Source organism: Homo sapiens, chromosome 22 (assembly GCF_000001405.40).
Source record: "Homo sapiens chromosome 22, GRCh38.p14 Primary Assembly".
NCBI lineage: Eukaryota > Metazoa > Chordata > Mammalia > Primates > Hominidae > Homo > Homo sapiens.
In genome coordinates, this window is record NC_000022.11 from 39,075,584 (window position 1) to 39,095,966 (window position 20,383).

The window sequence follows — 20,383 nt, forward strand, 5'->3', positions numbered from 1 at the left end:
TGATTCTCCTGCCTCAGCCTCCCAAGTAGCTGGGATTTCAGGCACATGGCACCACGTCCGGCCAACTTTGGTAGTTTTAGTAGAGACGAGGTCTCACCATGTTGGCCAGGTTGGTCTCGAACTCCTGACTGTCATACATGTCCATATAGAAGACCACCTAAACAGGCTTTGTGTAAGCAATAATGCCATTTATTCACTTGGGTGCAACTGGGCTGAGTCTGAAAAGAGAGTCAGCGAAGGGAGATAGGAGAGGGGCAGCTTTATAGGACTTGGGTAGGCGGTGGAAAGTTACAGTCAAAGGCGGTCATCTGTTGTCAGCAGGGGAGGGGGTCACAAGGTGCATGGTGGGAGACCATGAGACCCATTGTCCAGAAGAAGAATGTCATAAGGTCGATTGATCAGTTAGGGTAGGGCAGGAACAAGTCCTAATGGTGGAATGTCTTAAGGTTGGTTAATCAGTTAAGGGAGAAACTGGCTGTTTCACTTCTTTTGTGTTTTTTTGGCTGTTCCAGACTTCTTGGCTGCTGCAGGCCATCTGGATGTATATGTGCAGTTCACAGGGGTCACAATGGCTTAGCTCTGGCTCAGCGGCCTGACACTGACCTCAGATGATCCACCTGCCTCGGCCTCCCAAAATGCTGGGATTACAGGTGTGAGCCACTGTGCCCGCCTGGGATCATATGTTACACGCATGTTTGTTCAATAAGCATGGAGTGCAGCCACCCACATGAATATTCATAGCTCCTCCTGTAGCCTGTTCAATATGTATGTTTAGCTAACCCCTTCAGCATAAAGCTCCTGCCCCAACCCCTCCTGCTTCTAAATGTCTGTCTCTGGTGTTAACCAGAGGCTGCTCTTCCCAGGCTGCTGGATGGCTACCTTGCAGGCTGTCACCCTTAACAAGAAATAAAGTGTCATTTGCAAATGCATCCCTTGTGTAATTTGTAGGTCACCACGCCATGGGAACACGCTACCAGGGGAAGGGAGCTGTGAGACGCGCAGGGAGGCTCCAGACAGGCTGGCCTGGGACACCAGCCGCTGCCCTTCCATAACATGGGGACAAGAGAGGGCAAAAGTTCAGCCCACCACGGAGGATCTCCGGGCAGGAGATGGGGAAGAAGGAGAAGCAGGAAGGAAAGAGCTCAGTGTGGGGGCGCGCATGGCATCCCGGTGGGACATCTGAGGCCCACACCCACCTGCTGTCCCTCCCTCCCACGGTGGCCTCCGAGGGTGACGGCCTGGGGGGAGGCAGACGCCTGGCCATTTACTCTCCCTCCCTGTCCCCATGGCCGCTGGGTGGGGGCCGTCTCTGGGATGATCCCCGAGGGCAGGATCCGGGAGTCCCTGCGGAGGCATCAGCCTGTCTGTCTTGATGGTGGAGAGGAGGCTCCAGCTGGGCGGGACCACCAGGGGAGGGGCTTGTGCTCTGCTGGCTCAGCCTGGTGTGGACCCACCTCCCGGGCGCTGGCTGCAATGACTTTCTCTTTCCCTTTGCAATTGCCTTGGGTCCTGCCGCACAGAGCGGCCTGTCTTTATCAGAGGTCCCTCTGCCAGGGGGAGGGCCCCAGAGAAAACCAGAAAGAGGGTGAGAGACTGAGGAAGATAAAGCGTCCCAGGGCCTCCTACACCAGCGCCTGAGCAGGAAGCGGGAGGGGCCATGACTACGAGGCCCTGGGAGGTCACTTTAGGGAGGGCTGTCCTAAAACCAGAAGCTTGGAGCAGAAAGTGAAACCCTGGTGCTCCAGACAAAGATCTTAGTCGGGACTAGCCGGCCAAGGATGAAGCCTCACTTCAGGTACCGCTGCCCGCTCTACCCACTGGGCCCCTCTGCTGCCCCTTCTTGCCTGGTGGCTCTGCTGGGCGTCAGCCCTGGCCTTCCCCTGCCCCAGCCCCAGCCCTGGGCTCCCTCCCCTCTGACTCCCCTGCACCCCCTACTCCCAGCCAGGCTCCTTGCCCTGCTGTGTTGTCGCCCCACTGCTGCTTCTGAATGGGCCGCCTCCCCCATCTGTCCCAGCCCAGGTCCCCTGCTGAGACTCTCCCCTGAAAGTCATGGCTGGGGTGGTGCTCCCGGCCCTGGGAGGGTGCTCCCTCTGTGTGCTTCCCGCCATTCCTGAACTCTGGAACTGGGAGAATTGAACCAAAGGATGAGTAGAGCAAGGTGGAATTTTGTTCACAGGGCTTTGATGGATTTTCTGTAAGATTTACTTTGCTTAAATACCAAGTCTTAGGAGAGGGTGTGGGGAGGGAATGGTCTCTGAAGCACAGGATAAATCATGTCTTCCAAGGATGTCTCCACTGTGGGCAGAGGAGGATGCAGATGACCCCAAACACACGCTCCTCCTCCACTATCAGCATTCACTGTTTATAAATGACACCAGTAACATGGAATATAGTGGCCGGGTGCGGTGGCTCACACCTGTCATCCCAGCACTTTGGGAGGCTGAGGTGGGCGGATCGCCTGCGGTCAGGAGTTCAAGACCAGCCTGACCAGCATGGATAAACCCTGTCTCTACTAAAAATGCAAAATTAGCTGGGTGTGGTGGCGGGCGCCTGTAATCGCAGCTACTTGGGAGTCTGAGACAGGAGAATCCATTGAACCCAGGAGGCGGAGTTTGCAGTGAGCTGAGGTCGCCCCATTGCACTCCAGCCTGGGCAACAAGAGCAAAACTTCGTCTTGAAAGAAAAAAAAACAAAAACAAAAGAAAAAACATGGAATATATGGGAAAAAAACTCAATGATCAGGAGGAATGTTGTTATTTTAAAATTTAGTAAGAAGAGAGCCCGGTCCCCAATGGCTGCCTCCTGCAGGGCCAGTGATACAGAGACTGGACAGGGCTGGCCTGGAAAGGGGCCCCCACTCCATTTGTCCCCAGCTCTGTGGCCTGGGCAGGTTACCCCGCCTCTCTGCGCGTCTGGCCCCTCCTCTGTAAGACGGGAATGGCCCCTGCCAGCCTAGGGCAGCCTCACATGAGCTCACCCCCGCGCAGCACTTAGAAGACTGGCCTGGGCCTCAGAATTCGGTTCTACCATGATTTAACAATAATAATATACAGAGGTGAAATGTCAGGAAGGAACTGAGCTGAAAGGTTAAAAGCTGTTATTTTGGGGTGAAGAGTTTTATTCTGTCTCTCTCTCTCTTTTTTTTTGAGACGGAATTTCGCTCTTGTCGCCCAGGCTGGAGTGTAGTGGCGCGATCTTGGCTCACTACAGTCTCCGCCGAAATTCTCAGGGGAGGGGAGGGATGGGGGAGGCCTAGAGCCGTCCAGGGGGCTGTGTTTAGTGGACATCAGCCCGGAGGGCCCCCAGGAGTGCTCTCTACATTGGCTGGTTTCTCTCTTGTGTCTTCAGAAACACAGTGGAGCGAATGTATCGAGACACATTCTCCTACAACTTTTATAATAGACCCATCCTTTCTCGTCGGAATACCGTCTGGCTGTGCTACGAAGTGAAAACAAAGGGTCCCTCAAGGCCCCCTTTGGACGCAAAGATCTTTCGAGGCCAGGTACCACCCGGACTCCAATCACTTTGCAGGCAGGAGCTAAGCCAGCTGGGAAAGCAAACCACGCACTGATAAGTGAAGTGCCCGGCGGCGGGCTATCCAGTGTGTCCTTCTCTCCCACACTTTCCAAGTCCGTGGCCCTGACCTTCCTGCTGGACCGTCCTGGGATCGGATCGTGGAGGGGGTTTGCCTCTGCACAAAAGGCCTTGTGTTTCCGTTTTTCTTTTCTTTTCTTTTTTCTTTTTTTTTTTTGAGACAGAGTTTCACTCTTGTTGCTCAGGCTGGAGTGCAATGACGCGATCTCGGCTCACAGCAACCTCTGCCTCCTGGGTTCAAGCGATGCTGTCGCCTCAGACTCGCAAGTAGCTGCGATTACAGGTGCCCACCACCACGCCCAGCTGATTTTTTTTTTGTATTTTTAGTACAGATGGGGTTTCACCATATTCACCAGGCTGGTCTCGAACTTCTGACCTCAGGTGATCCACCTGCCTCGGCCTCCCAAAGTGTTGGGATTACAGGTGTGAGCCACAGCGCCGGCCTAATTTTAATATTTAATTAATCCAATGTGGCTAACATATTACTTCAACATTAATTAACATAAAATTCTTGACAAGATAATGAAGTTTCTTTTTCTTGTCACACCGAGTCTTTGAAATGAGCTGCGTGGGTCACGTACAGTGGGTGGCTCGCACCTCTAATCCCAGCACTTTGGGAGGCCAAGGCGGGCAGATCACCTGAAGTTAGATATTCAAAACCGGCCTGGGCAACATGGTGAAATCCCATCTCTACTAAAAATACAAAAAAAAAAAAAATTAGCCAGGCATGGTGGCAGTCACCTGTAATCCCAGCTACTCGGGAGGCTGAGGCAGGAGAACCGCTTGATCCCATGAGGCAGAGGTTGTAGTGAGCCAAGATTGCATCCTTGCATTCCAGCCTGGGCAACAAGAGCGAAACTCCATCTCAAAAAAAAAAAAAGAAATGAGTGGTGTATTTTTCAGGTGCCCAGGTCTCTAATCAGAGCCCCATTTCAAGTACTCAGTAGTCCCTTGGCCATGTCACCCCCCCCGACATGGACAGTGCAGGTCCAGTGGGCTCCCCACTGACTGCAGGCAGGGAACAAGGCAGACCCTAGAGGGCCAGGCCACAGTAGGGGCTGAGGATGTCTGGTGAATGGATGCCTGGGAGAATGGATGCTAGAATTCACACACGAGGCCATGAACAGGGCTGGGAAAACTTCCAAACTCAGGGAAGCACGTGTCTTGGTGCACCTTGTGATGCTTCAACAGCAGGACTGAGATGGGGACATTTACAATGAACAGAAATGTATGGGCTCGAGTTCTGGACTCTGGGAAGTCCCCTGTCAATGCACCAGCAACTTTCCAGGGCCTGCGAGCTGCACAGTCACGTGGGGGTGAAGGTTGTTGCCAGAAGCTCAGGGGATGCTCCAGACAGAGTGGCCTGGGATGTCGAGTCACTGCTGCTCCGTGACATGGGGGCAAGAGGAAGCAGTTTAGTCTGACATACTGCCCCCCCAGCTAGAGGGCAAGAGACAGAAAGAGGGGCTGAAGTCGCCCTTGAATAACCACAGCAGTGGCACCCACAAAGGTGCAGTTCCCACAGCCTCATAGCTGCTTGTAGGTGCCACCTCTTAAGGCCATTACCATAGCAATTAATACTGAACATGAGCTTTGGAGCAGACAAACACTCAAACCGAACAGGGGGATGGAGGAAAGGAGCTTCAATGGCAAGATCTCCTGGACTCCTGTCCTGGCCCCTCCTCCCCCTGCCCCACCCCTGCTCTCCTCCTGCTCCCCCTCTCAGAGCTTGCCCTGACCCTGCTCCTCTCCCAGGTGTATTCCGAACTTAAGTACCACCCAGAGATGAGATTCTTCCACTGGTTCAGCAAGTGGAGGAAGCTGCATCGTGACCAGGAGTATGAGGTCACCTGGTACATATCCTGGAGCCCCTGCACAAAGTGTACAAGGGATATGGCCACGTTCCTGGCCGAGGACCCGAAGGTTACCCTGACCATCTTTGTTGCCCGCCTCTACTACTTCTGGGACCCAGATTACCAGGAGGCGCTTCGCAGCCTGTGTCAGAAAAGAGACGGTCCGCGTGCCACCATGAAGATCATGAATTATGACGGTGAGAAGTGGGAGGTTCAGGGGTGTGGGAGAGACTGCTTAAGTGTCTGTGATGGGTCCTTCCCACACATACCTGTGGGTCTGCTCTGATGCCTGCAAAGGCCAAGTGTCCCAGGGGAGCCTGTGGGGTTGGGTCTGGCGCTGACTGTAACTAGTATCTAGAATATGTCTGGGAGGGGAGGGTCCCGAGGTCACAGAAGAGAGGCCAGCTGGGCTTGACTGCGTTCTCTCTTCTTTTTCTTAGAATTTCAGCACTGTTGGAGCAAGTTCGTGTACAGCCAAAGAGAGCTATTTGAGCCTTGGAATAATCTGCCTAAATATTATATATTACTGCACATCATGCTGGGGGAGATTCTCAGGTGAGGGTCTCCCTCCAGGCTCATCGCCTCGCTCCTCTCACCTCCTGCTCATCCTCTTGAGGCCTCCCCTCTGTTCCAGACCAGGTCCTCTCCTGGCCAGGCCCTCCTGCCTTCCCTCCTGCCCCCTGCCTGCCCTCGTGGTTACACTCCCTCACCCACACTCCTCGTGCTCCCTCCACCTCCCTGCCTCCCACCTGCTTTCCTGGGCCCTTCCTGTGAGTGAGAGGCCCCTTCTGCCTCCAGAGCAACCTCCATCCACCCCCACAGCCTGGGAGCCCCAACCTGGCCCCTTCCATCTCCCTGGCATAACCGAATTTGTCGTAAAACTGGACGTAGTAAGTGGGCATGAATAGTCACAAGCCCGGCAGTCAGAAGCTTTGAGCAACATCCTTAAAGGCCAACCTGAGCCCCTGAGAAGGAGCTGCCTCCATGGAAACAGAGCTTCAGGCTTCGGCTGCCATAGAAGATGGCCGGGCTGGGTGCCCACAGGGCAGGCATTTATTTTCTCACACATCTGGAGGCTGCAAGTCCAAGGTGGAGGGGTGGGCGGGGTTGTGTCTTCTGCAGTCGCTCCTCCTGGCTGGCAGGGGGTCCCTTCCGGCCCTGTCCTCTCTGGCCTTTCCTCTGTGCACCTGCACTCGTGGGGTCTCTCTGCCTCCAAATGTCCTCCTCGTTTATGGACCCCAGTCATGTGAATTTGGGCCCACACTGAAGGTCTCATTTAAGTTAATCATCTGATGAAAGGACCTGTCTCCAGGCCAGGTGCAGAGGCTCATGCCTGTAATCCCAGCACTTTGGGAGTCCAAGGCGGGTGGATCACCTGAGGTCAGGAGTTCGACACCAGCCTGGCCAACATGTTAAAACCCCATCTCTACCAAAAATACAAAAATTAGCCGGGAGTGGTGGTGGGCGCCTATAATTCTAGCTACTCGGAAGGCTGAGGCAGGAGAATCGCTTGAACCCGGGAGGCGGAGGTTGCGGTGAGCCCAGACTGCGCCGCTGCACTCCAGCCTGGGCAAAAAAGCGAAACTTCTTCTCAAACAAACAAACAAGAAAGAAAGGACCTGTTTCCAAATACAGCCACCCTTTGAGGGAGCGGGGGTTAAGGCTTCAATACATTGATTTTGGGGAGAAACAGTGAAGGCCACGGCAAGAAGCTGCAGTCATTGTGGGCGGGCCTGGGTGGGGAGTGCAGGGGTTCCTGTCCTGTGTGTCTGTTTCCCAGGGGAGTCCTGACCTGACTCTCACAGCCCCTCCACCCAGATGTTCCTGTGTGCTTCACCCACCCCATTCCTTCTGCACCCAACACTCCTGAGCCCCTCCTTAGCTCCCCCGACAGGCTCCCCTGCTCCCCCACTCCCGGGCTGCTCCTCTTCTCAGCCTCTCTCTGGGCCTCTCTGGGGTCCGGACATGACCCCTCAGCTGATGCCTGTGGCTTCCCCAGCCAGAATCTTCCCAGTTCCAGGCTGGGCTCTGCAGAGTCCTATCAAAGGTGGCATCCTCCCCTCTGTCCACTCCAGGGTGAAGATCTGGTGTTTCTGGTTTGGAAATGCCTCTGCACTGGGTGCTAATAATTCACTTTTACCTTTATAATTGTGGTTTTGTAAGGACAGGTATTTTTGGCAACAGAAGAAATCCTGTGAGTTATTTAAAAAAAAACAAAAAAACTCCCTGGCAGGCTCTTCTCCCCGCTGGTCCCGCTCAGGAGTGTCTCTGCCCTGATGCTGGGTGTGGCAAGAGTTAACCCTGTAGGCAGGAGGGGTGCCCCAGTGGGTCCACCTCCAGCAAGGACTGAGAGCGAGCAGAGCCAGGACTGGGGTCTATGGTGAGGCCAGGGAAGAAGACCCAGCTGTACCCCAGGGAGAGGGCCTGAGCACACTGAGCTGACCCTGGGGAGACCCTGACAAGGCTTAGACAGGCCCCAGGGCTGCCGTGATCTCCCAGTGAGCCCCAGAAGGGGTCAGAGGGGGAGGTTTGGAGGCTCTAGCAAGTGAGTGGGAGCCCCTTCTGACAGGTGCTAAGGGATGTGGGGAGCCGGGGGAAGGAAGGAGGGTGGGGTGCAAGGGAGGAAGCGTGGAGAGGGAGGGGGAGGTGGGACAGACCAGGAGGGCTCTTACTCCTCTGGGCTTTTCCCCCACTTTCCAGACACTCGATGGATCCACCCACATTCACTTTCAACTTTAACAATGAACCTTGGGTCAGAGGACGGCATGAGACTTACCTGTGTTATGAGGTGGAGCGCATGCACAATGACACCTGGGTCCTGCTGAACCAGCGCAGGGGCTTTCTATGCAACCAGGTGACCAACCCAGCCACCCGCATCCAGGCAGGGCCCTCCCAACCCAGGGACACCCATGGGCAGAAGGTTCTGGGTGGTACCTGTGGTGTCCTGCAGAGTGTCTGTCACCTGTGCTTCCTGTAGCTGCTGCTGCTTGGCCCTGGGGTTGGGGGAGACTTCGGCTTCAGTGACTCTCCAGGATTGGTGGCTTCCAGCCCCACACGCCTAACCAGCCACATGTCTCAGGGGCTAACACCACTAGTCCAGAGTCACCCCCAGGTCCAGGTCTCAGCCGTCCCCACTCCTGCTGTGCTCTGAGAGGGTCAGGGCAGAGGAAAAGGGTCTGCACCAGGGCCAAGTGGGATCAAAGAAAAAGCGCTTCCGGCCGGGCACGGTGGCTCATGCCTGTAATCCCAGCACTTTGGGAGGCCGAGGCTGGCGATCACAAGGTCAGGAGATCAAGACCATCCTGGCTAACACGGTGAAACCCCATCTCTATTAAAAATACAAAAAATTAGCCAGGTGTGGTGGCAGGCGCCTGTAGTCCCAGCTATTCAGGAGACTGAGGCAGGAGAATGGCATGAACCTGGGAGGCAGAGCTTGCAGTGAGCCAAGATCGTGCCACTGCACTCCACCTGGGCAACAGAGCGAGACTCCGTCTCAAGAAAAAAAAAAAAAGTGCTTCCTGAGGACCCTCCCAGGATCCCCTCACAGACACAGCTCCCACCAGGAATGATTCAGAACTGTGGGATTTGAGGATCAGGGCCTACCTGACCTCACAAGGCCAGGATTCCCCAGTGCCTGCTCCTGGGCTTCATCCTGCGGGAAAAGAGACTGAGGCAGGAGAGGCCGACCAGGGATTCTGTCCTGACCAGGATGGAGCCCACAGCAAGGCCAGAACAGGCCCCAAGTCAGGATGCAGGGATGGCCAGCATTTGAAGAAGAGCTGGGCCAGGCCAGGCCGAGGGGCCCTGAGCCCGAGGGACGTTCTTCCCTCGCCCTTGCCCAGCACAGCCCCTGGCTGGAGAGGCCAAATTCTGCTTGGCTCTGGTGCTGGAAACGGGGTTCCTCTGGGCTCTATGAGCTTAATATGGGCCCTGCTGGGCCCACACACACTGCTTGGAAGCTACTTTCAAAGGCACCGGTCCCCATCACTGTCTAACCAGTGGGATGGGACTCCCCCAGGAATGACCCACAGCCCCTTCTCAGCACAAATCGTGTCATCCATTCTACCCCGAGTCCTCTCTGCACTGGACTCCTGGGCTTGACTAGTTCCCAGTCGAAATTTGGACAAAACACCATCATTCCTTGGGCTCAACAAGGACAATCACCCCATGACTGGGGCCCTTCCCAATGTGGGGTTAGTCCTGCTGGGGGCCCCTCATCCCCACTTCTCCCTGCAAAGGGAGCCCTCTGGCCTCAGTCTATGTCACTCGTGGGCTTAATACAGGGTAAAGCACAATGTGGAAGCTTCTAGAATTATAGGTCACAGAAGGGGTGGGGCAAGGGGAATTGACGGGTAGACAGGTCAGCCTCCCCATGAGGGAAGCACACGCAGCTCAGTGGCATCTGTCCTCCCTCCCCCAGCTCTACAGCCCCTCCCTGCAGGCCTGGGGCGGAGTGAGGGTCCTGAAGGCACTGACCTCATGTGCAGAATGAGAGGATGCTCCAAATACTCAGTATCAGAGAAATCTCATCGTAATGGAAAATTAAATTATTTAATAGATTATTGTAAAAATCCGGTCAGGTGTGGTGGCTCATGCCTGTAGTCTCAGCACTTTGGGAGGCTGAGGCGGGCAGATCACTTGAGGTCAGGAGTTCAAGACAAGCCTGGCCAATATGGTGAAACCCCGTCTCTACTGAAAATACAAAGATTAGCCAGGCGTGGTGGTGCATGCCTGCAGTCCCAGTTACTGGGGAGGCTGAGACACCAGAATCGCTTGAACCCGGGAGGTGGAGGTTGCAGTGAGCCAAGATGGCGCCACTGCACTCCAGCCTGAGTGACAGAACCAGACTCTGTCTCAAAGAAAAGAAAGGAAAAGAAAAGAAAAGTCATCTTGATAACTGGGGTTTGGTGCCCCCGTCTAATTTTGTGCTGGAGGCTGCCCCGCACCCACCCTGATCCAGGCTGTCCCTCCTGACTCACTAAAAATTCCCTCGGCCGGGCGCTGTGGCTCATGCCTGTAATCCCAGCACTTTGGGAGGCTGAGGAGGGCAGATCACCTGAGGTTGGGAGTTTGAGACCAGCCTGAACCACATGGAGAAACCCCTTTTCTACTAGAAATACAAAATTAGCCTGGTGTGGTGGTGCATGCCTGTAATCCTAGCTACTTGTACACTCCAGCCTGGGCAACAAGAGTGAAACTCTGTCTCAAAAAAAAAAAAGATTACCTCATGGCTTGCTTTCTTTTCTAGGCTCCACATAAACACGGTTTCCTTGAAGGCCGCCATGCAGAGCTGTGCTTCCTGGACGTGATTCCCTTTTGGAAGCTGGACCTGGACCAGGACTACAGGGTTACCTGCTTCACCTCCTGGAGCCCCTGCTTCAGCTGTGCCCAGGAAATGGCTAAATTCATTTCAAAAAACAAACACGTGAGCCTGTGCATCTTCACTGCCCGCATCTATGATGATCAAGGAAGATGTCAGGAGGGGCTGCGCACCCTGGCCGAGGCTGGGGCCAAAATTTCAATAATGACATACAGTGGTGAGAATGGAAGCCTGGAGTAGGATGGGGTCAGCCAGGGCAGGAGAGGGCCCCGGGAAGTTACTAGAAAGTGGGGAGGGTCGGCATCCCTGTGGGAAAGGCCTTGATCCTCTGCCTGCAGAGGCGATGGCTGCACTCTGGACCTGACTTTGGGGTCGACGGGAAGAGAGAGGCCAGGCCAGGAGATGTGGACCTGGGGAGGGCGGGGAGGGTGGCTGGAAGTGGAAGCAGAACTTGGGGCTTCCAGAAAAAATGAGAACTGGGCTGGCCCAGATTCCAATAGGAAAGAAGTGCCTGATGAAGGAGCTAAGTCCCTAGGGGAGGGAGAGGGAAAGGAGGGACTGAAACCAGGATGTGGGAAGTCTGTCTTGAGAGTCATGGGCCTTTGGTGCCACCACGATCCCACAGCGGGAGTGTGACTTATCTCCCCTGTCCCTTTTCAGAATTTAAGCACTGCTGGGACACCTTTGTGGACCACCAGGGATGTCCCTTCCAGCCCTGGGATGGACTAGATGAGCACAGCCAAGACCTGAGTGGGAGGCTGCGGGCCATTCTCCAGGTGAGGGCTTCTTCCCTCTGCCCAGTGCCCCATCGGCCTCCCCCTCCTCCCCTCTCCCCTGCGCCGTGCCTTCCCCTCTGCTCAGAGCCTCCTCTGGGTTCCCTGCTCCCCCAGGGCACCTGTCTCTGTCCCTCCCTTTCCTTCTCACAGCCTCCCTTTCTCTCCCACCTCCCACATCCCTCCCTCCTCTCCGATCATTGTCACTGTCCCCAGGCCTCCACCATATGCCTACTTTCCACTCGCTCACCCTTTGCTCCATTCAACCTCCCTGCTCTTCCAGAATCAGGAAAACTGAAGGATGGGCCTCAGTCTCTAAGGAAGGCAGAGACCTGGGTTGAGCCTCAGAATAAAAGATCTTCTTCCAAGAAATGCAAACAGGCTGTTCACCACCATCTCCAGCTGATCACAGACACCAGCAAAGCAATGCACTCCTGACCAAGTAGATTCTTTTAAAAATTAGAGTGCATTACTTTGAATCAAAAATTTATTTATATTTCAAGAATAAAGTACTAAGATTGTGCTCAATACACAGAAAAGTTTCAAACCTACTAATCCAGCGACAATTTGAATCGGTTTTGTAGGTAGAGGAATAAAATGAAATACTAAATCTTTCTGTATATGTTTCCCTGTGTGATTGTATCATGAATTGCAAGTGTTTCCATAAACACTAGCAAATGTGTAGATGTCTTTCCTTGTGTAGCGGACCTGTAGCCGGGAAAGGTCACACGACATCCCTCTGGAGCCAGAAAACTCAGCTAAACCTCACAGGAGAGGAACCTAAATGCAGACCCCACCCTCACTCACAGAGCCCCGCCCACTCTCACTCACAGAGCCCTGGGCGCTGATTGGAAGGGACAGGCCCAGCAGTAAGAGGACAGCCAGCAGCCAGTCTCCCTGTTGGAAAGGAACCACACACGTGCAGTCAGGGGCCCTCGGGAGCAGCCCTGTGTCCACCCCTTCCTGAGTCCACCTCCTAGAGAGGGAGCCCAGGGAAGGCCATGGCTGAGACCCAGGACAGGCCCAGTCAGGGGAAGGAGCCCAGGGAGCGGGCAGGTGTCCAGGCTGGGCCCAGAGAGAGGGCTGGGAAGAGGAGCAGCCCAGGAGGCAGAGCCCAGCCACAGAGGGGAGGGGAGCTGAGTCCCAGGGACAGGAGGCTCCAGAGGCAGAGACGGAGCCCAGGGCTAGGGCGGCAGGTGTCAGGGCTGTGGCTTCAGCTTGGTGTCTGTCCCGGGTGTTCTGCATTGGTTCCCGACTCTGGGATGTGTTATTTATGTGCCTGATTACAGCAGGTGGCTCCCACCTCACGATTTCTGGAAAGTCCTCAGAAGCTGCGTATAAGACCAAGAAGGGGCCTCACACGCAGCTGCTCCTGGGCAGAAACGACTCACTGTTTCCCTGGCCTAGACACACACAACACGCACACACAATACTCGCACTACACACAACACACACACAACACACACAATACTCACACGACACACAATACACACATACAAGACACACAAAAACACACATGCACGTACACAACACACACAACACACGTGCACACACACACACACACACAGTGACAGAGACTTGACAATAAGAAACCTCCTCCAGGTGCCCCAGAGCTCTCCTGGGATGGGAACTGGACACAGCCCCATGACACTGCTGAGACCTGGGCTGGGAACTGAGAGCCTGTGGTCCCTCTGGGCTGTAGGGAGGCGGGCCCCCACAGTGGTGGCAGAGCCGGGACCCCGGACACAGCAGCATGGACTCCAAACCCAAGCGGAACCTCCATTCTGGTCCCAGGCTGCACAGCCCAGCACCTGCCCAGGGTCCCTCTGCCCTGCCTTCTCCCTCAATAGTCTGGACCCCAGCTGCGTGCCTGCCTTGTCCCCCCCTTACAGGGGACCAGGGTGAATCTCAGGTGAAGCCTGCACCTGTGAAGGAGGCCATTCTCCCTGCTCCCATCCCTGCCACCCACATGGGGAACCAGCTCCTTCTTGTCCCCGAGGACTTTTCCTGGGCTCTGGTGGAAACTCCAGCGGGATATGGGGTCTTACATTTTCCCTCAATGTTGCAGAGGCTGAAATGGGGGCGGGGCTGTCACTCCCCAGGAGCTGACCCCTGTCACCTGTGCTTAGAAGTGTCTCCGGGAGGCACAGTGTTTTATCAGTGTTATCTACAAGCATTTTACAGTGTAGTTTGTTTTTTTTGTTGTTGTTTGTTTTTGTTTTTTTTGAGACAGAGTCTCGCTGTGTCACCCAGGCTGGAGTGCAGTGGCGCGATCTCAGCTCACTGAAACCTCTGCCTCGCAAGTTCCAGGATTCTCCTGCCTCCACCTCTCGAGTAGCTAGGATTATAGGTGTGCACCACCACACCCAGCTAATTTTTGTAGTTTTAGTAAAGATGGGGTTTCACCACTTTGGTCCAGGATGGTCTCAAATTCCTGACCTCAAGCGATCTGCCCGCCTGACGTCCCAAAGTGCTTGGATTACAGGCGTTAGCCACCGTGCCCAGCCGTGAGTGCTAGTTTTAGATCGGATCCCAGGCCCCAGGCTGTGTCTGTCATGGGCAATCATGATGAACTTTTGTTGCGCTGTGCTCTGGGAAAAGCTGGACATTTTGCCACCCACTCCACTCCACTCCACGTAGCAAACAAAACAAACCCATCAGGATCCCAGCATGGAGGGCCATGCAGTCTAATGATGGTTGGACAGACTGGCAGAGGCAGCCCCGAGCTGTTCCTGGGTAAGACCAAGGGAATAAGACCATGATTCCGGTCAGTTCTTGGTGAATGTCATCCCCCTACCCCACCCTCAGAACAAATACAGATTTTCAAAATCTACCACTTTTTTCTTTCAAATTTTCTACCCATGGAAGAATGAATGACCATCCGGAGACAGCAGGGAAGGTTATTGCTTAATCAAGATGCTGGTGTGTTTCAGGGAGCTGGCCAGGGTGGAGTAGGCTTGTGGCCACGTTCCCTGGGTGGGAAGACTGAGATGGAGGTGGGCGTGGTCCAGGGACTGTCAGGAGCAGGGCTGGGGGAGACGACCTGGCACAGGGCCGTGCCTGCACACAGAGCAACAACGCCCACCATCAGGTCTGCCCTGTGCCAATCAGAAAATTCTGGACAGAGACTGTGACCCTCTGTGTCACTCTGGGGCAGGGGGTAATGGTTCCACACACTTCTATGGGGACCTGGAGAGTGGAGACCAGAGCACTGGTGGGCAGGCAGGCGAGCCTGGGTCTAAGAGCCCACTGTGCCTGCCACTGTCCCGTACCTCGGCACGTCACCTCCCCTGAAACCTCTCTTTACTCATCTGTAAAGTGGGGGCAATTATACCTCCCTCTCAACTGTGCACTTGGAGGGCAGTGAGGGCTGGATTTGGGACAGACCTGGTACGCACCAGGCGTTGGGCAAGTCTGAGTCTCCTCCTCTCCCTGAGTCAAGCTGCCTGACGTGATGGCAGTCTTCCTGCCCACAAGTTCTGGTCCAGCCCCTCCACCCAGGAAGCCCTCGGGGAGGTGATGCCACCGGCAGCGCTGTGGTTTTGGCACCCACAGGCATAGGATGGGCTGCCGTGGAAGGTGCCTGCTGTCCCTCAGGGTCTGTACCTCAGCCACCCTCCAGGGTGGGGCCCTATCCTCCTCCCACTGCCTTCTCCGGCCCTCACCACCCCGGGCAGGCACTGCTTCCCAGAGAGCCACCCGGGTCAGGAGTAAAGTGGCCTCTGTGGTCAAAGTCTGAAAAAGTTGCCCCCACACCTGCCTAACGGTGCACAGGGCTTTCTGGGGGGGTAGGGAGGAGGCAGGCAAGACTCTGGCACCTTTTCTGAGTCACATCCCTTCTACCGGGGCCCTGAGCCTGCAGGACGGAAGGATGTGGCCTTGCCTGTCAGAGGGTTCTGAGAACACGGAAGGCTCCTGAGTCCTCGAAGGGCATCCTCAGTGGGAGAGTGGCCCTGAGCAGAGAGGAGCGTAAGGGGCAAGGCACACCCCTTGAGAGGTCGGTGTCAGCAGCAAGCCCGTTTGCCTGTAGACATCTGTCTCCACTCTTTATTTATACATATTTTTTGAGTAAGGGTCTCACCCTGTCACCCAGGCTGGAGTGCAGTGGCAAGATCACAGCTTGCTGCAGACTCAATCTCCCGGGCTTAACCAATCCTCCCACTTCAGCCTCCCAAGTAGCTGAGACTTCAGGCGTGCGTCACCACACCCAGCTAATTTCCGTGTGTGTGTGTGTGTGTGTGTGTGTGTGTTTGTGTTTAGTAGGGATGGGGTTTTTCCATGTTGCCCCAGCTGGTCTTGAACTTCTAGGCTCAGGCAATCCTCCTGCCTCAGCCTCCCGAGGTGCTGGGATCACAGGTGTGAGCCGCCACTGGCAGGCATCTCCTCAACTTGACATTGCAGTGAGAAAGGGCAAAAGTAGCCGGTCTCACAGAGCAGACATGTGCTTCCCGTCCTGACCTGCAACGTGCTGCCTCCTTACAAGTGCTACCAGATCACCTGGTTCATATCCCGGAGCCCCAGCCCGGACCATGTGGTAAAAGTGGCCGAGTACAACAAAGTGAAGCTGAGCATCTTCATTGCCCGCCTCTATCACGACTGTGACCCGGGATTCCAGCACGGGCTTCGCAGACTGCAGGACACAGAGGCACGCGTGCACATCATGTCTTCTAAGGGTGAGAGGTTGGGGCCTGAGGGGTGTGTGTGGGGGAGGGACAGCATGAGGGGCAGGGGAGTCTGGGATGCCATTGGGACGATGTCCCAGGAGAGCCTGCAGGGACTGAGCCAGCACTGACAGCCAGGAGATCACACCTAGGAGGGGCAGGCCCAGGGTCAGGGGAGAGAGGTCTGCCGGGCCTGACTTCTTTCTCCCCTCTTTTATCTCAGAATTTGAACACTGTTGAGAAGACTGTGTACAAGAGAGATGTGCCATGTCAGCCTTGCAAGGGACAGCGTGAAAACTACCCATCTCCGGTCACCAAGTTGCAGGGTAGCCTCACAGCTGATGCCCTCGCTCCTCTCGGCTCCTGCTCAGCCTCCTGATGCCTTCCCTCTGTCCTGGATCAGATTCACCCCTGCCTGGGCCTTCTGAGCTGCTCCTGCCCTGAGTACCACCCCTCAGTGCCCCCCACCTCACTGCCTCTTCCCCACTTTCCTGACCCTGCCTGTGAGAGGCTGCTTTCTGCCTCCATAGCAACCTCTATCCACCCCCCAGTCTCCTTCCTCCCATCCTGGGGGCCCCTAGCCTGGCTCCTTCCATCTCCTCATCATACCTAAATCTTGTCATTGAACTGATATAAATAGGTAGTAGAAATATACATAAGTGTGAAAGTTAAGTTTTGAGAAACACCTTTTGTAAAAAACCGATGGTAAGTATTGGGTCATTCTTGTCACACCCAACTCAAACAGAGGCCAGGAGCCAGGAGGGGAAACCACTCAGTTTGCAAAACGTCGCTTCCACAAGCCTGATGGCTGAAACTGCTCACTGTACCCTGAAACCAGCTTTACCTACAGCTTCTGAGATAAACTGCTGCAACTCTGGGACCCACGATGCCTATCACAGTGGCTCATCAATGGAACCTGCCGGCTCCCAACCCTTCCTAGGGCCCATGAACTCTCTGAAAAGAGGAACAGAAATATTTCTCCTTTTTGTAAAATCTTTAACCTTCCCTTTGTTCTTCATGTACACGCTGAACTGCAATTCTTCTTCCCAAATAAAACATTAAATTTAGAAATTTCTCTCCATAGTTTTATTTTGACTTCAACATACGTGGGGTCAGAAGTGGGATCCAATTCTCACTTCCCTCCAGGGGAATCAGCAGCCCACAGAACGATGGTGGGAGGTACCCACGCTGGTAACCTCTTCTGCCCCCTGGCAGATCTTTCTTGGACAAAACTCCAGAATTGGGTTTGCATTCTGTTTCATTTGGGATAAGGCTGGGGAGGGGTCTTTCCCCTTCCTGTTTGGGAGATTTTCTGTTAGGAGGGTTGTTTTCCTCCCGTTGATCTGGGCTGTGAGGTTTGGACCTCGACAAGTTTGGAAGAGGTGATTCCCCCTCATTTGGAGAAAGCTATCATCCTTCCTGGTAAACACCTACTTTATTTCCCATCAGTGCTTGCATTTATTGTGCTTTTGTGTATTTGATGTCAAACTAAATTACCTAGATAAACTGAGCAACAGGCAGGGCGCGGTGGCTCACGCCTATAATCCCAGCACTGTGGGAGGCTAAAGCAGGTGGATCACCTGAGGTCAGGAGTTTGAGACCAGCCTGGCCAACATGGTGAAACTCTGTCTCTACTAAAAATACAAAAATTAGCTGGGCGTGGTGGCGGGCGCTTGTAGTCCCAGCTACTCGGTAGGCTGAGGCAAGAGAATTGCTGGAGCCCAGGAGGCAGAGGCTGCAGTGAACCAAGATCATGCCACTGCACTCCAGCCTGGATGACAGAGTGAGACTCTGTCTCAAAAAAAAAAAAAAAAAAAAAAAAAAAAAACTGGATTACAAATGAAATCAAAGTTCAAAGGCATGCCAAGATATTTTCTGGGACTCCCGCCTGTAACGTCTTCAAACATTATAGGGATTATTCAATCTATTGTTCTTTTTGTTTTGAGATGGAGTTGTTTTTTGTTGTTGTTTTTGTTTTGTTTGTTTGTTTTTTGGAGATGGAGTTTTGCTCTGTTGCCCAGGCTGGAGTGCAATGGCTTGATCTCAGCTCACTGCAACATCTGCCTCCTGGGTTCAAGCGATTCTCCTGCCTCAGCCTCCCGAGTAGCTGGGATTATAGGCATGCGCCACCACGCCTGGCTAATTTTTGTATTTTTAGTAAAGACGGGGTTTCTCCATGTTGGTCCAGGCTGGTCTCAAACTCCCGACCTCAGGTGATCGGCCAGCCTCGGCCTCCCAAAGTGCTGGGATTACAGGCATGAGCCACCGTGCCCGGCCCAATCTATTGTTCTTAAAACTAAACCAAAAGACCATGGTTTAAAAATCATACACTTTAAATAAGATATGCATATCTCATTGATATCTTTTTTTTTTTTGAGATGGAGTCTCGCTCTGTCGCCCAGGCTGGAGTGCAGTGGCAGGATCTAGGCTCGCTGCAACCTCTGCCTCCCGGGTTCAAGAGATTCTCCTGCCTCAGTCTCCCGAGTAGCTGGGATTACAGGTATGCTACCACCACGCCCACCTAATTTTTGCAATTTTAGTAGAGATGGGGTTTCACCATGTTGGCCAGGCTGACCTCGGACTCCCAAAGTGCTGGGATTACAGGTGTGAGCCACCATGCCAGGCCCTGGATAACTTTCTTTAAATCAACAAAGTAATAAATTTTGTCACACTGTCAGCTTGCTTGCATGTAGACATGGCTTAGGTTTTACATTGGTAAGACTCCAATATAAGGAGAGTTTAGGCCAGGCACAGTGGATGAGGTCATTGGGGTAGTTCCTAATCCAATAAATCTGGTGTTCTTATAAAGGGGAGATTTAGGCCGGGCGTGGTGGCTCACACCTGTAATCCCAACACTTTGGGAGGCTGAGGTGGGCAGATCAGGAGTCAGAAGTTTGAAACCAGCCTGGCCAATATGATGAAATCCCCTCTCTACTAAAAATACAGAAATTAGCTGGGTGTGGCACTGCACACCTGTGAACCCAGCTACTCGGGAGTCTGAGGCAGGAGAATTTCTTAAACCTGGGAGGCAGAGGTTGAAGTGAGCCGAGATCGCACCATTGCACCACATCCTGGGTGACAGAGCGAGACTCCATCTCAAAAAAAAAAAAAAGAAGCTTAAAACAAAGACGGGACGTTCTTCCTTCTGCCTTCTGAGGCCTCCCTAGTCTGTAGTGCCGGAGCTTCTAATAAATGATCACAACTTCACCGCACCCTGTGGCTCAGCTTGAGTTCTTTCCTGTGAGAGATCCAAGAACCCATTCTTGGGGTCTGGATCGGGTCCCCCTTTGCAGCAACGAACACAGGCCAGAGTGGCCAGCCTAACCTCCCGTCCTCCTGGAGATAACACCTAAGCACAGGCCCGTCCTAGACACCACAGGGTCTCTGCTGCAGGAATTCACTGGAGGAGTAGTGGGAATGCTGCCTGTGGGAAGGACCAGGAAAGGGTTCCGCCTTCCTTTCCATCCTCCCTGCTTCTCAGCCTGGGAGACTCAGCTCTGTGATTAACCAGCACTACAGTGTGCAGATCTGATGTCTCTCCTGGCAGGACCCCGCTCATTCTGGAATCTTCCATGGACTGTAGCCCCAACATTTAGGACAGATAGGGTGGAGGGGATGCCATTCCCAGGAACCTTCTAAATTCTCACCCAAGCTCCTGTGACCCCAGGGGCCATGCAGGGTCTAGAGGGCTGTCAGGGTGTGCAGGGCGGGAGGATATGGAGGGACAAGCTGGGCAAGGTTCAATGGGACTCCTTGGTGTGGAACCTAGACTCCGCAGTGACTGCCCCTAGTCCTCGCCCTTGGGATTCAACTTTCCTAGGGGTTCTTTGGTTTTTCTTTTTCTTTTCTTTTAGACAGAGTCCCGTTCTTGTCGACCAGGCTAGAGTGCAGTGGCACAATCTCGGCTCGCTGCAACCTCTGCCTCCCAGGTTCGAATGATTCCCCTGCTTCAGACTCCTGAGTAGCTGGGATTACAGATGCCCGCCACCACGCCTGGCTAATTTTTGTATTTTTAGTAGAGACGAGGTTTCACCGTGTTGCCCAGGCTGGTCTCGAACTCCTGACCTCAGGTCATCAGCCTGCCTGAGCCTCCCGAAGTGCTGGGATTACAGGCGTGAGCCACAGCACCTGGCCTGGCTCTTTGGTGTTTATGATCTGAAGGGTGTTGGTTGATATGCATGA

At 54.2% G+C, this 20,383-nt stretch overlaps 1 protein-coding gene and 1 long non-coding RNA gene across 8 annotated transcripts, besides 6 other annotated features; both read left to right on the top strand.

The window, feature by feature from the left end:
* APOBEC3G (apolipoprotein B mRNA editing enzyme catalytic subunit 3G) lies at positions 1,422–12,160 on the top strand. 5 transcript variants are annotated; one of them, NM_001349436.1, is made up of 8 exons: positions 1,422–1,585; positions 3,349–3,502; positions 5,350–5,644; positions 5,888–6,002; positions 8,148–8,301; positions 10,696–10,984; positions 11,428–11,543; positions 11,824–12,160. In NM_001349436.1, the coding sequence occupies exons 2-8, from the start codon at positions 3,365–3,367 to the stop codon at positions 11,836–11,838; spliced, it is 1,122 nt and encodes a 373-aa protein (NP_001336365.1). In that variant the 5' UTR covers positions 1,422–1,585; positions 3,349–3,364; the 3' UTR covers positions 11,839–12,160. The 5 variants fall into 5 exon arrangements, 4 of the variants coding, with proteins under 4 accessions (NP_001336365.1, NP_068594.1, NP_001336366.1 ...); NM_021822.4 differs by lacking the exon at positions 1,422–1,585 and adding an exon at positions 1,692–1,795; NM_001349437.2 differs by lacking the exons at positions 1,422–1,585; positions 3,349–3,502 and adding an exon at positions 1,692–1,795.
* Positions 1,446–1,495: an enhancer, noted in NCBI's record as "active region_19028". NCBI's record gives its function as "activates an Ori minimal core promoter by ATAC-STARR-seq in GM12878 lymphoblastoid cells {active_cell/tissue: GM12878}" and the evidence as "EXISTENCE:reporter gene assay evidence [ECO:0000049][PMID:35858748]".
* Positions 1,506–1,585: an enhancer, noted in NCBI's record as "active region_19029". NCBI's record gives its function as "activates an Ori minimal core promoter by ATAC-STARR-seq in GM12878 lymphoblastoid cells {active_cell/tissue: GM12878}" and the evidence as "EXISTENCE:reporter gene assay evidence [ECO:0000049][PMID:35858748]".
* Positions 5,882–6,382: an enhancer, noted in NCBI's record as "H3K4me1 hESC enhancer chr22:39477470-39477970 (GRCh37/hg19 assembly coordinates)". NCBI's record gives its function as "activates a minimal SCP1, AML or CMV promoter by ChIP-STARR-seq in primed H9 embryonic stem cells {active_cell/tissue: H9 hESC(primed)}" and the evidence as "EXISTENCE:reporter gene assay evidence [ECO:0000049][PMID:30033119]".
* Positions 9,177–9,750: an enhancer, noted in NCBI's record as "H3K4me1 hESC enhancer chr22:39480765-39481338 (GRCh37/hg19 assembly coordinates)". NCBI's record gives its function as "activates a minimal SCP1, AML or CMV promoter by ChIP-STARR-seq in primed H9 embryonic stem cells {active_cell/tissue: H9 hESC(primed)}" and the evidence as "EXISTENCE:reporter gene assay evidence [ECO:0000049][PMID:30033119]".
* Positions 12,158–12,967: an enhancer, noted in NCBI's record as "H3K4me1 hESC enhancer chr22:39483746-39484555 (GRCh37/hg19 assembly coordinates)". NCBI's record gives its function as "activates a minimal SCP1, AML or CMV promoter by ChIP-STARR-seq in naive H9 embryonic stem cells {active_cell/tissue: H9 hESC(naive)}" and the evidence as "EXISTENCE:reporter gene assay evidence [ECO:0000049][PMID:30033119]".
* Positions 12,968–13,776: an enhancer, noted in NCBI's record as "H3K4me1 hESC enhancer chr22:39484556-39485364 (GRCh37/hg19 assembly coordinates)". NCBI's record gives its function as "activates a minimal SCP1, AML or CMV promoter by ChIP-STARR-seq in naive and primed H9 embryonic stem cells {active_cell/tissue: H9 hESC(naive and primed)}" and the evidence as "EXISTENCE:reporter gene assay evidence [ECO:0000049][PMID:30033119]".
* LOC101927202 (uncharacterized) lies at positions 15,479–17,268 on the top strand. 3 transcript variants are annotated; one of them, XR_007068102.1, is made up of 4 exons: positions 15,479–15,537; positions 15,942–16,213; positions 16,425–16,527; positions 16,947–17,268. It is a non-coding gene; the product is annotated as an uncharacterized LOC101927202 (long non-coding RNA). The 3 variants fall into 3 exon arrangements; XR_007068103.1 differs by having other exon boundaries at positions 16,024–16,213; XR_938259.3 differs by having other exon boundaries at positions 15,479–16,213; positions 16,425–17,268.
* Positions 17,269–20,383: the final 3,115 nt, after the last annotated feature.

What these genes read in the sequence shown, in the direction of transcription:
- APOBEC3G (NM_021822.4), top strand. An exon ending in CAAAGATCTTTCGAGGCCAG is followed by an intron (nt 3,503 to 5,349) that starts GTACCACCCGGA and finishes CTCCTCTCCCAG; the next exon opens with GTGTATTCCGAACTTAAGTA. An exon ending in ATGCTGGGGGAGATTCTCAG is followed by an intron (nt 6,003 to 8,147) that starts GTGAGGGTCTCC and finishes CCCACTTTCCAG; the next exon opens with ACACTCGATGGATCCACCCA.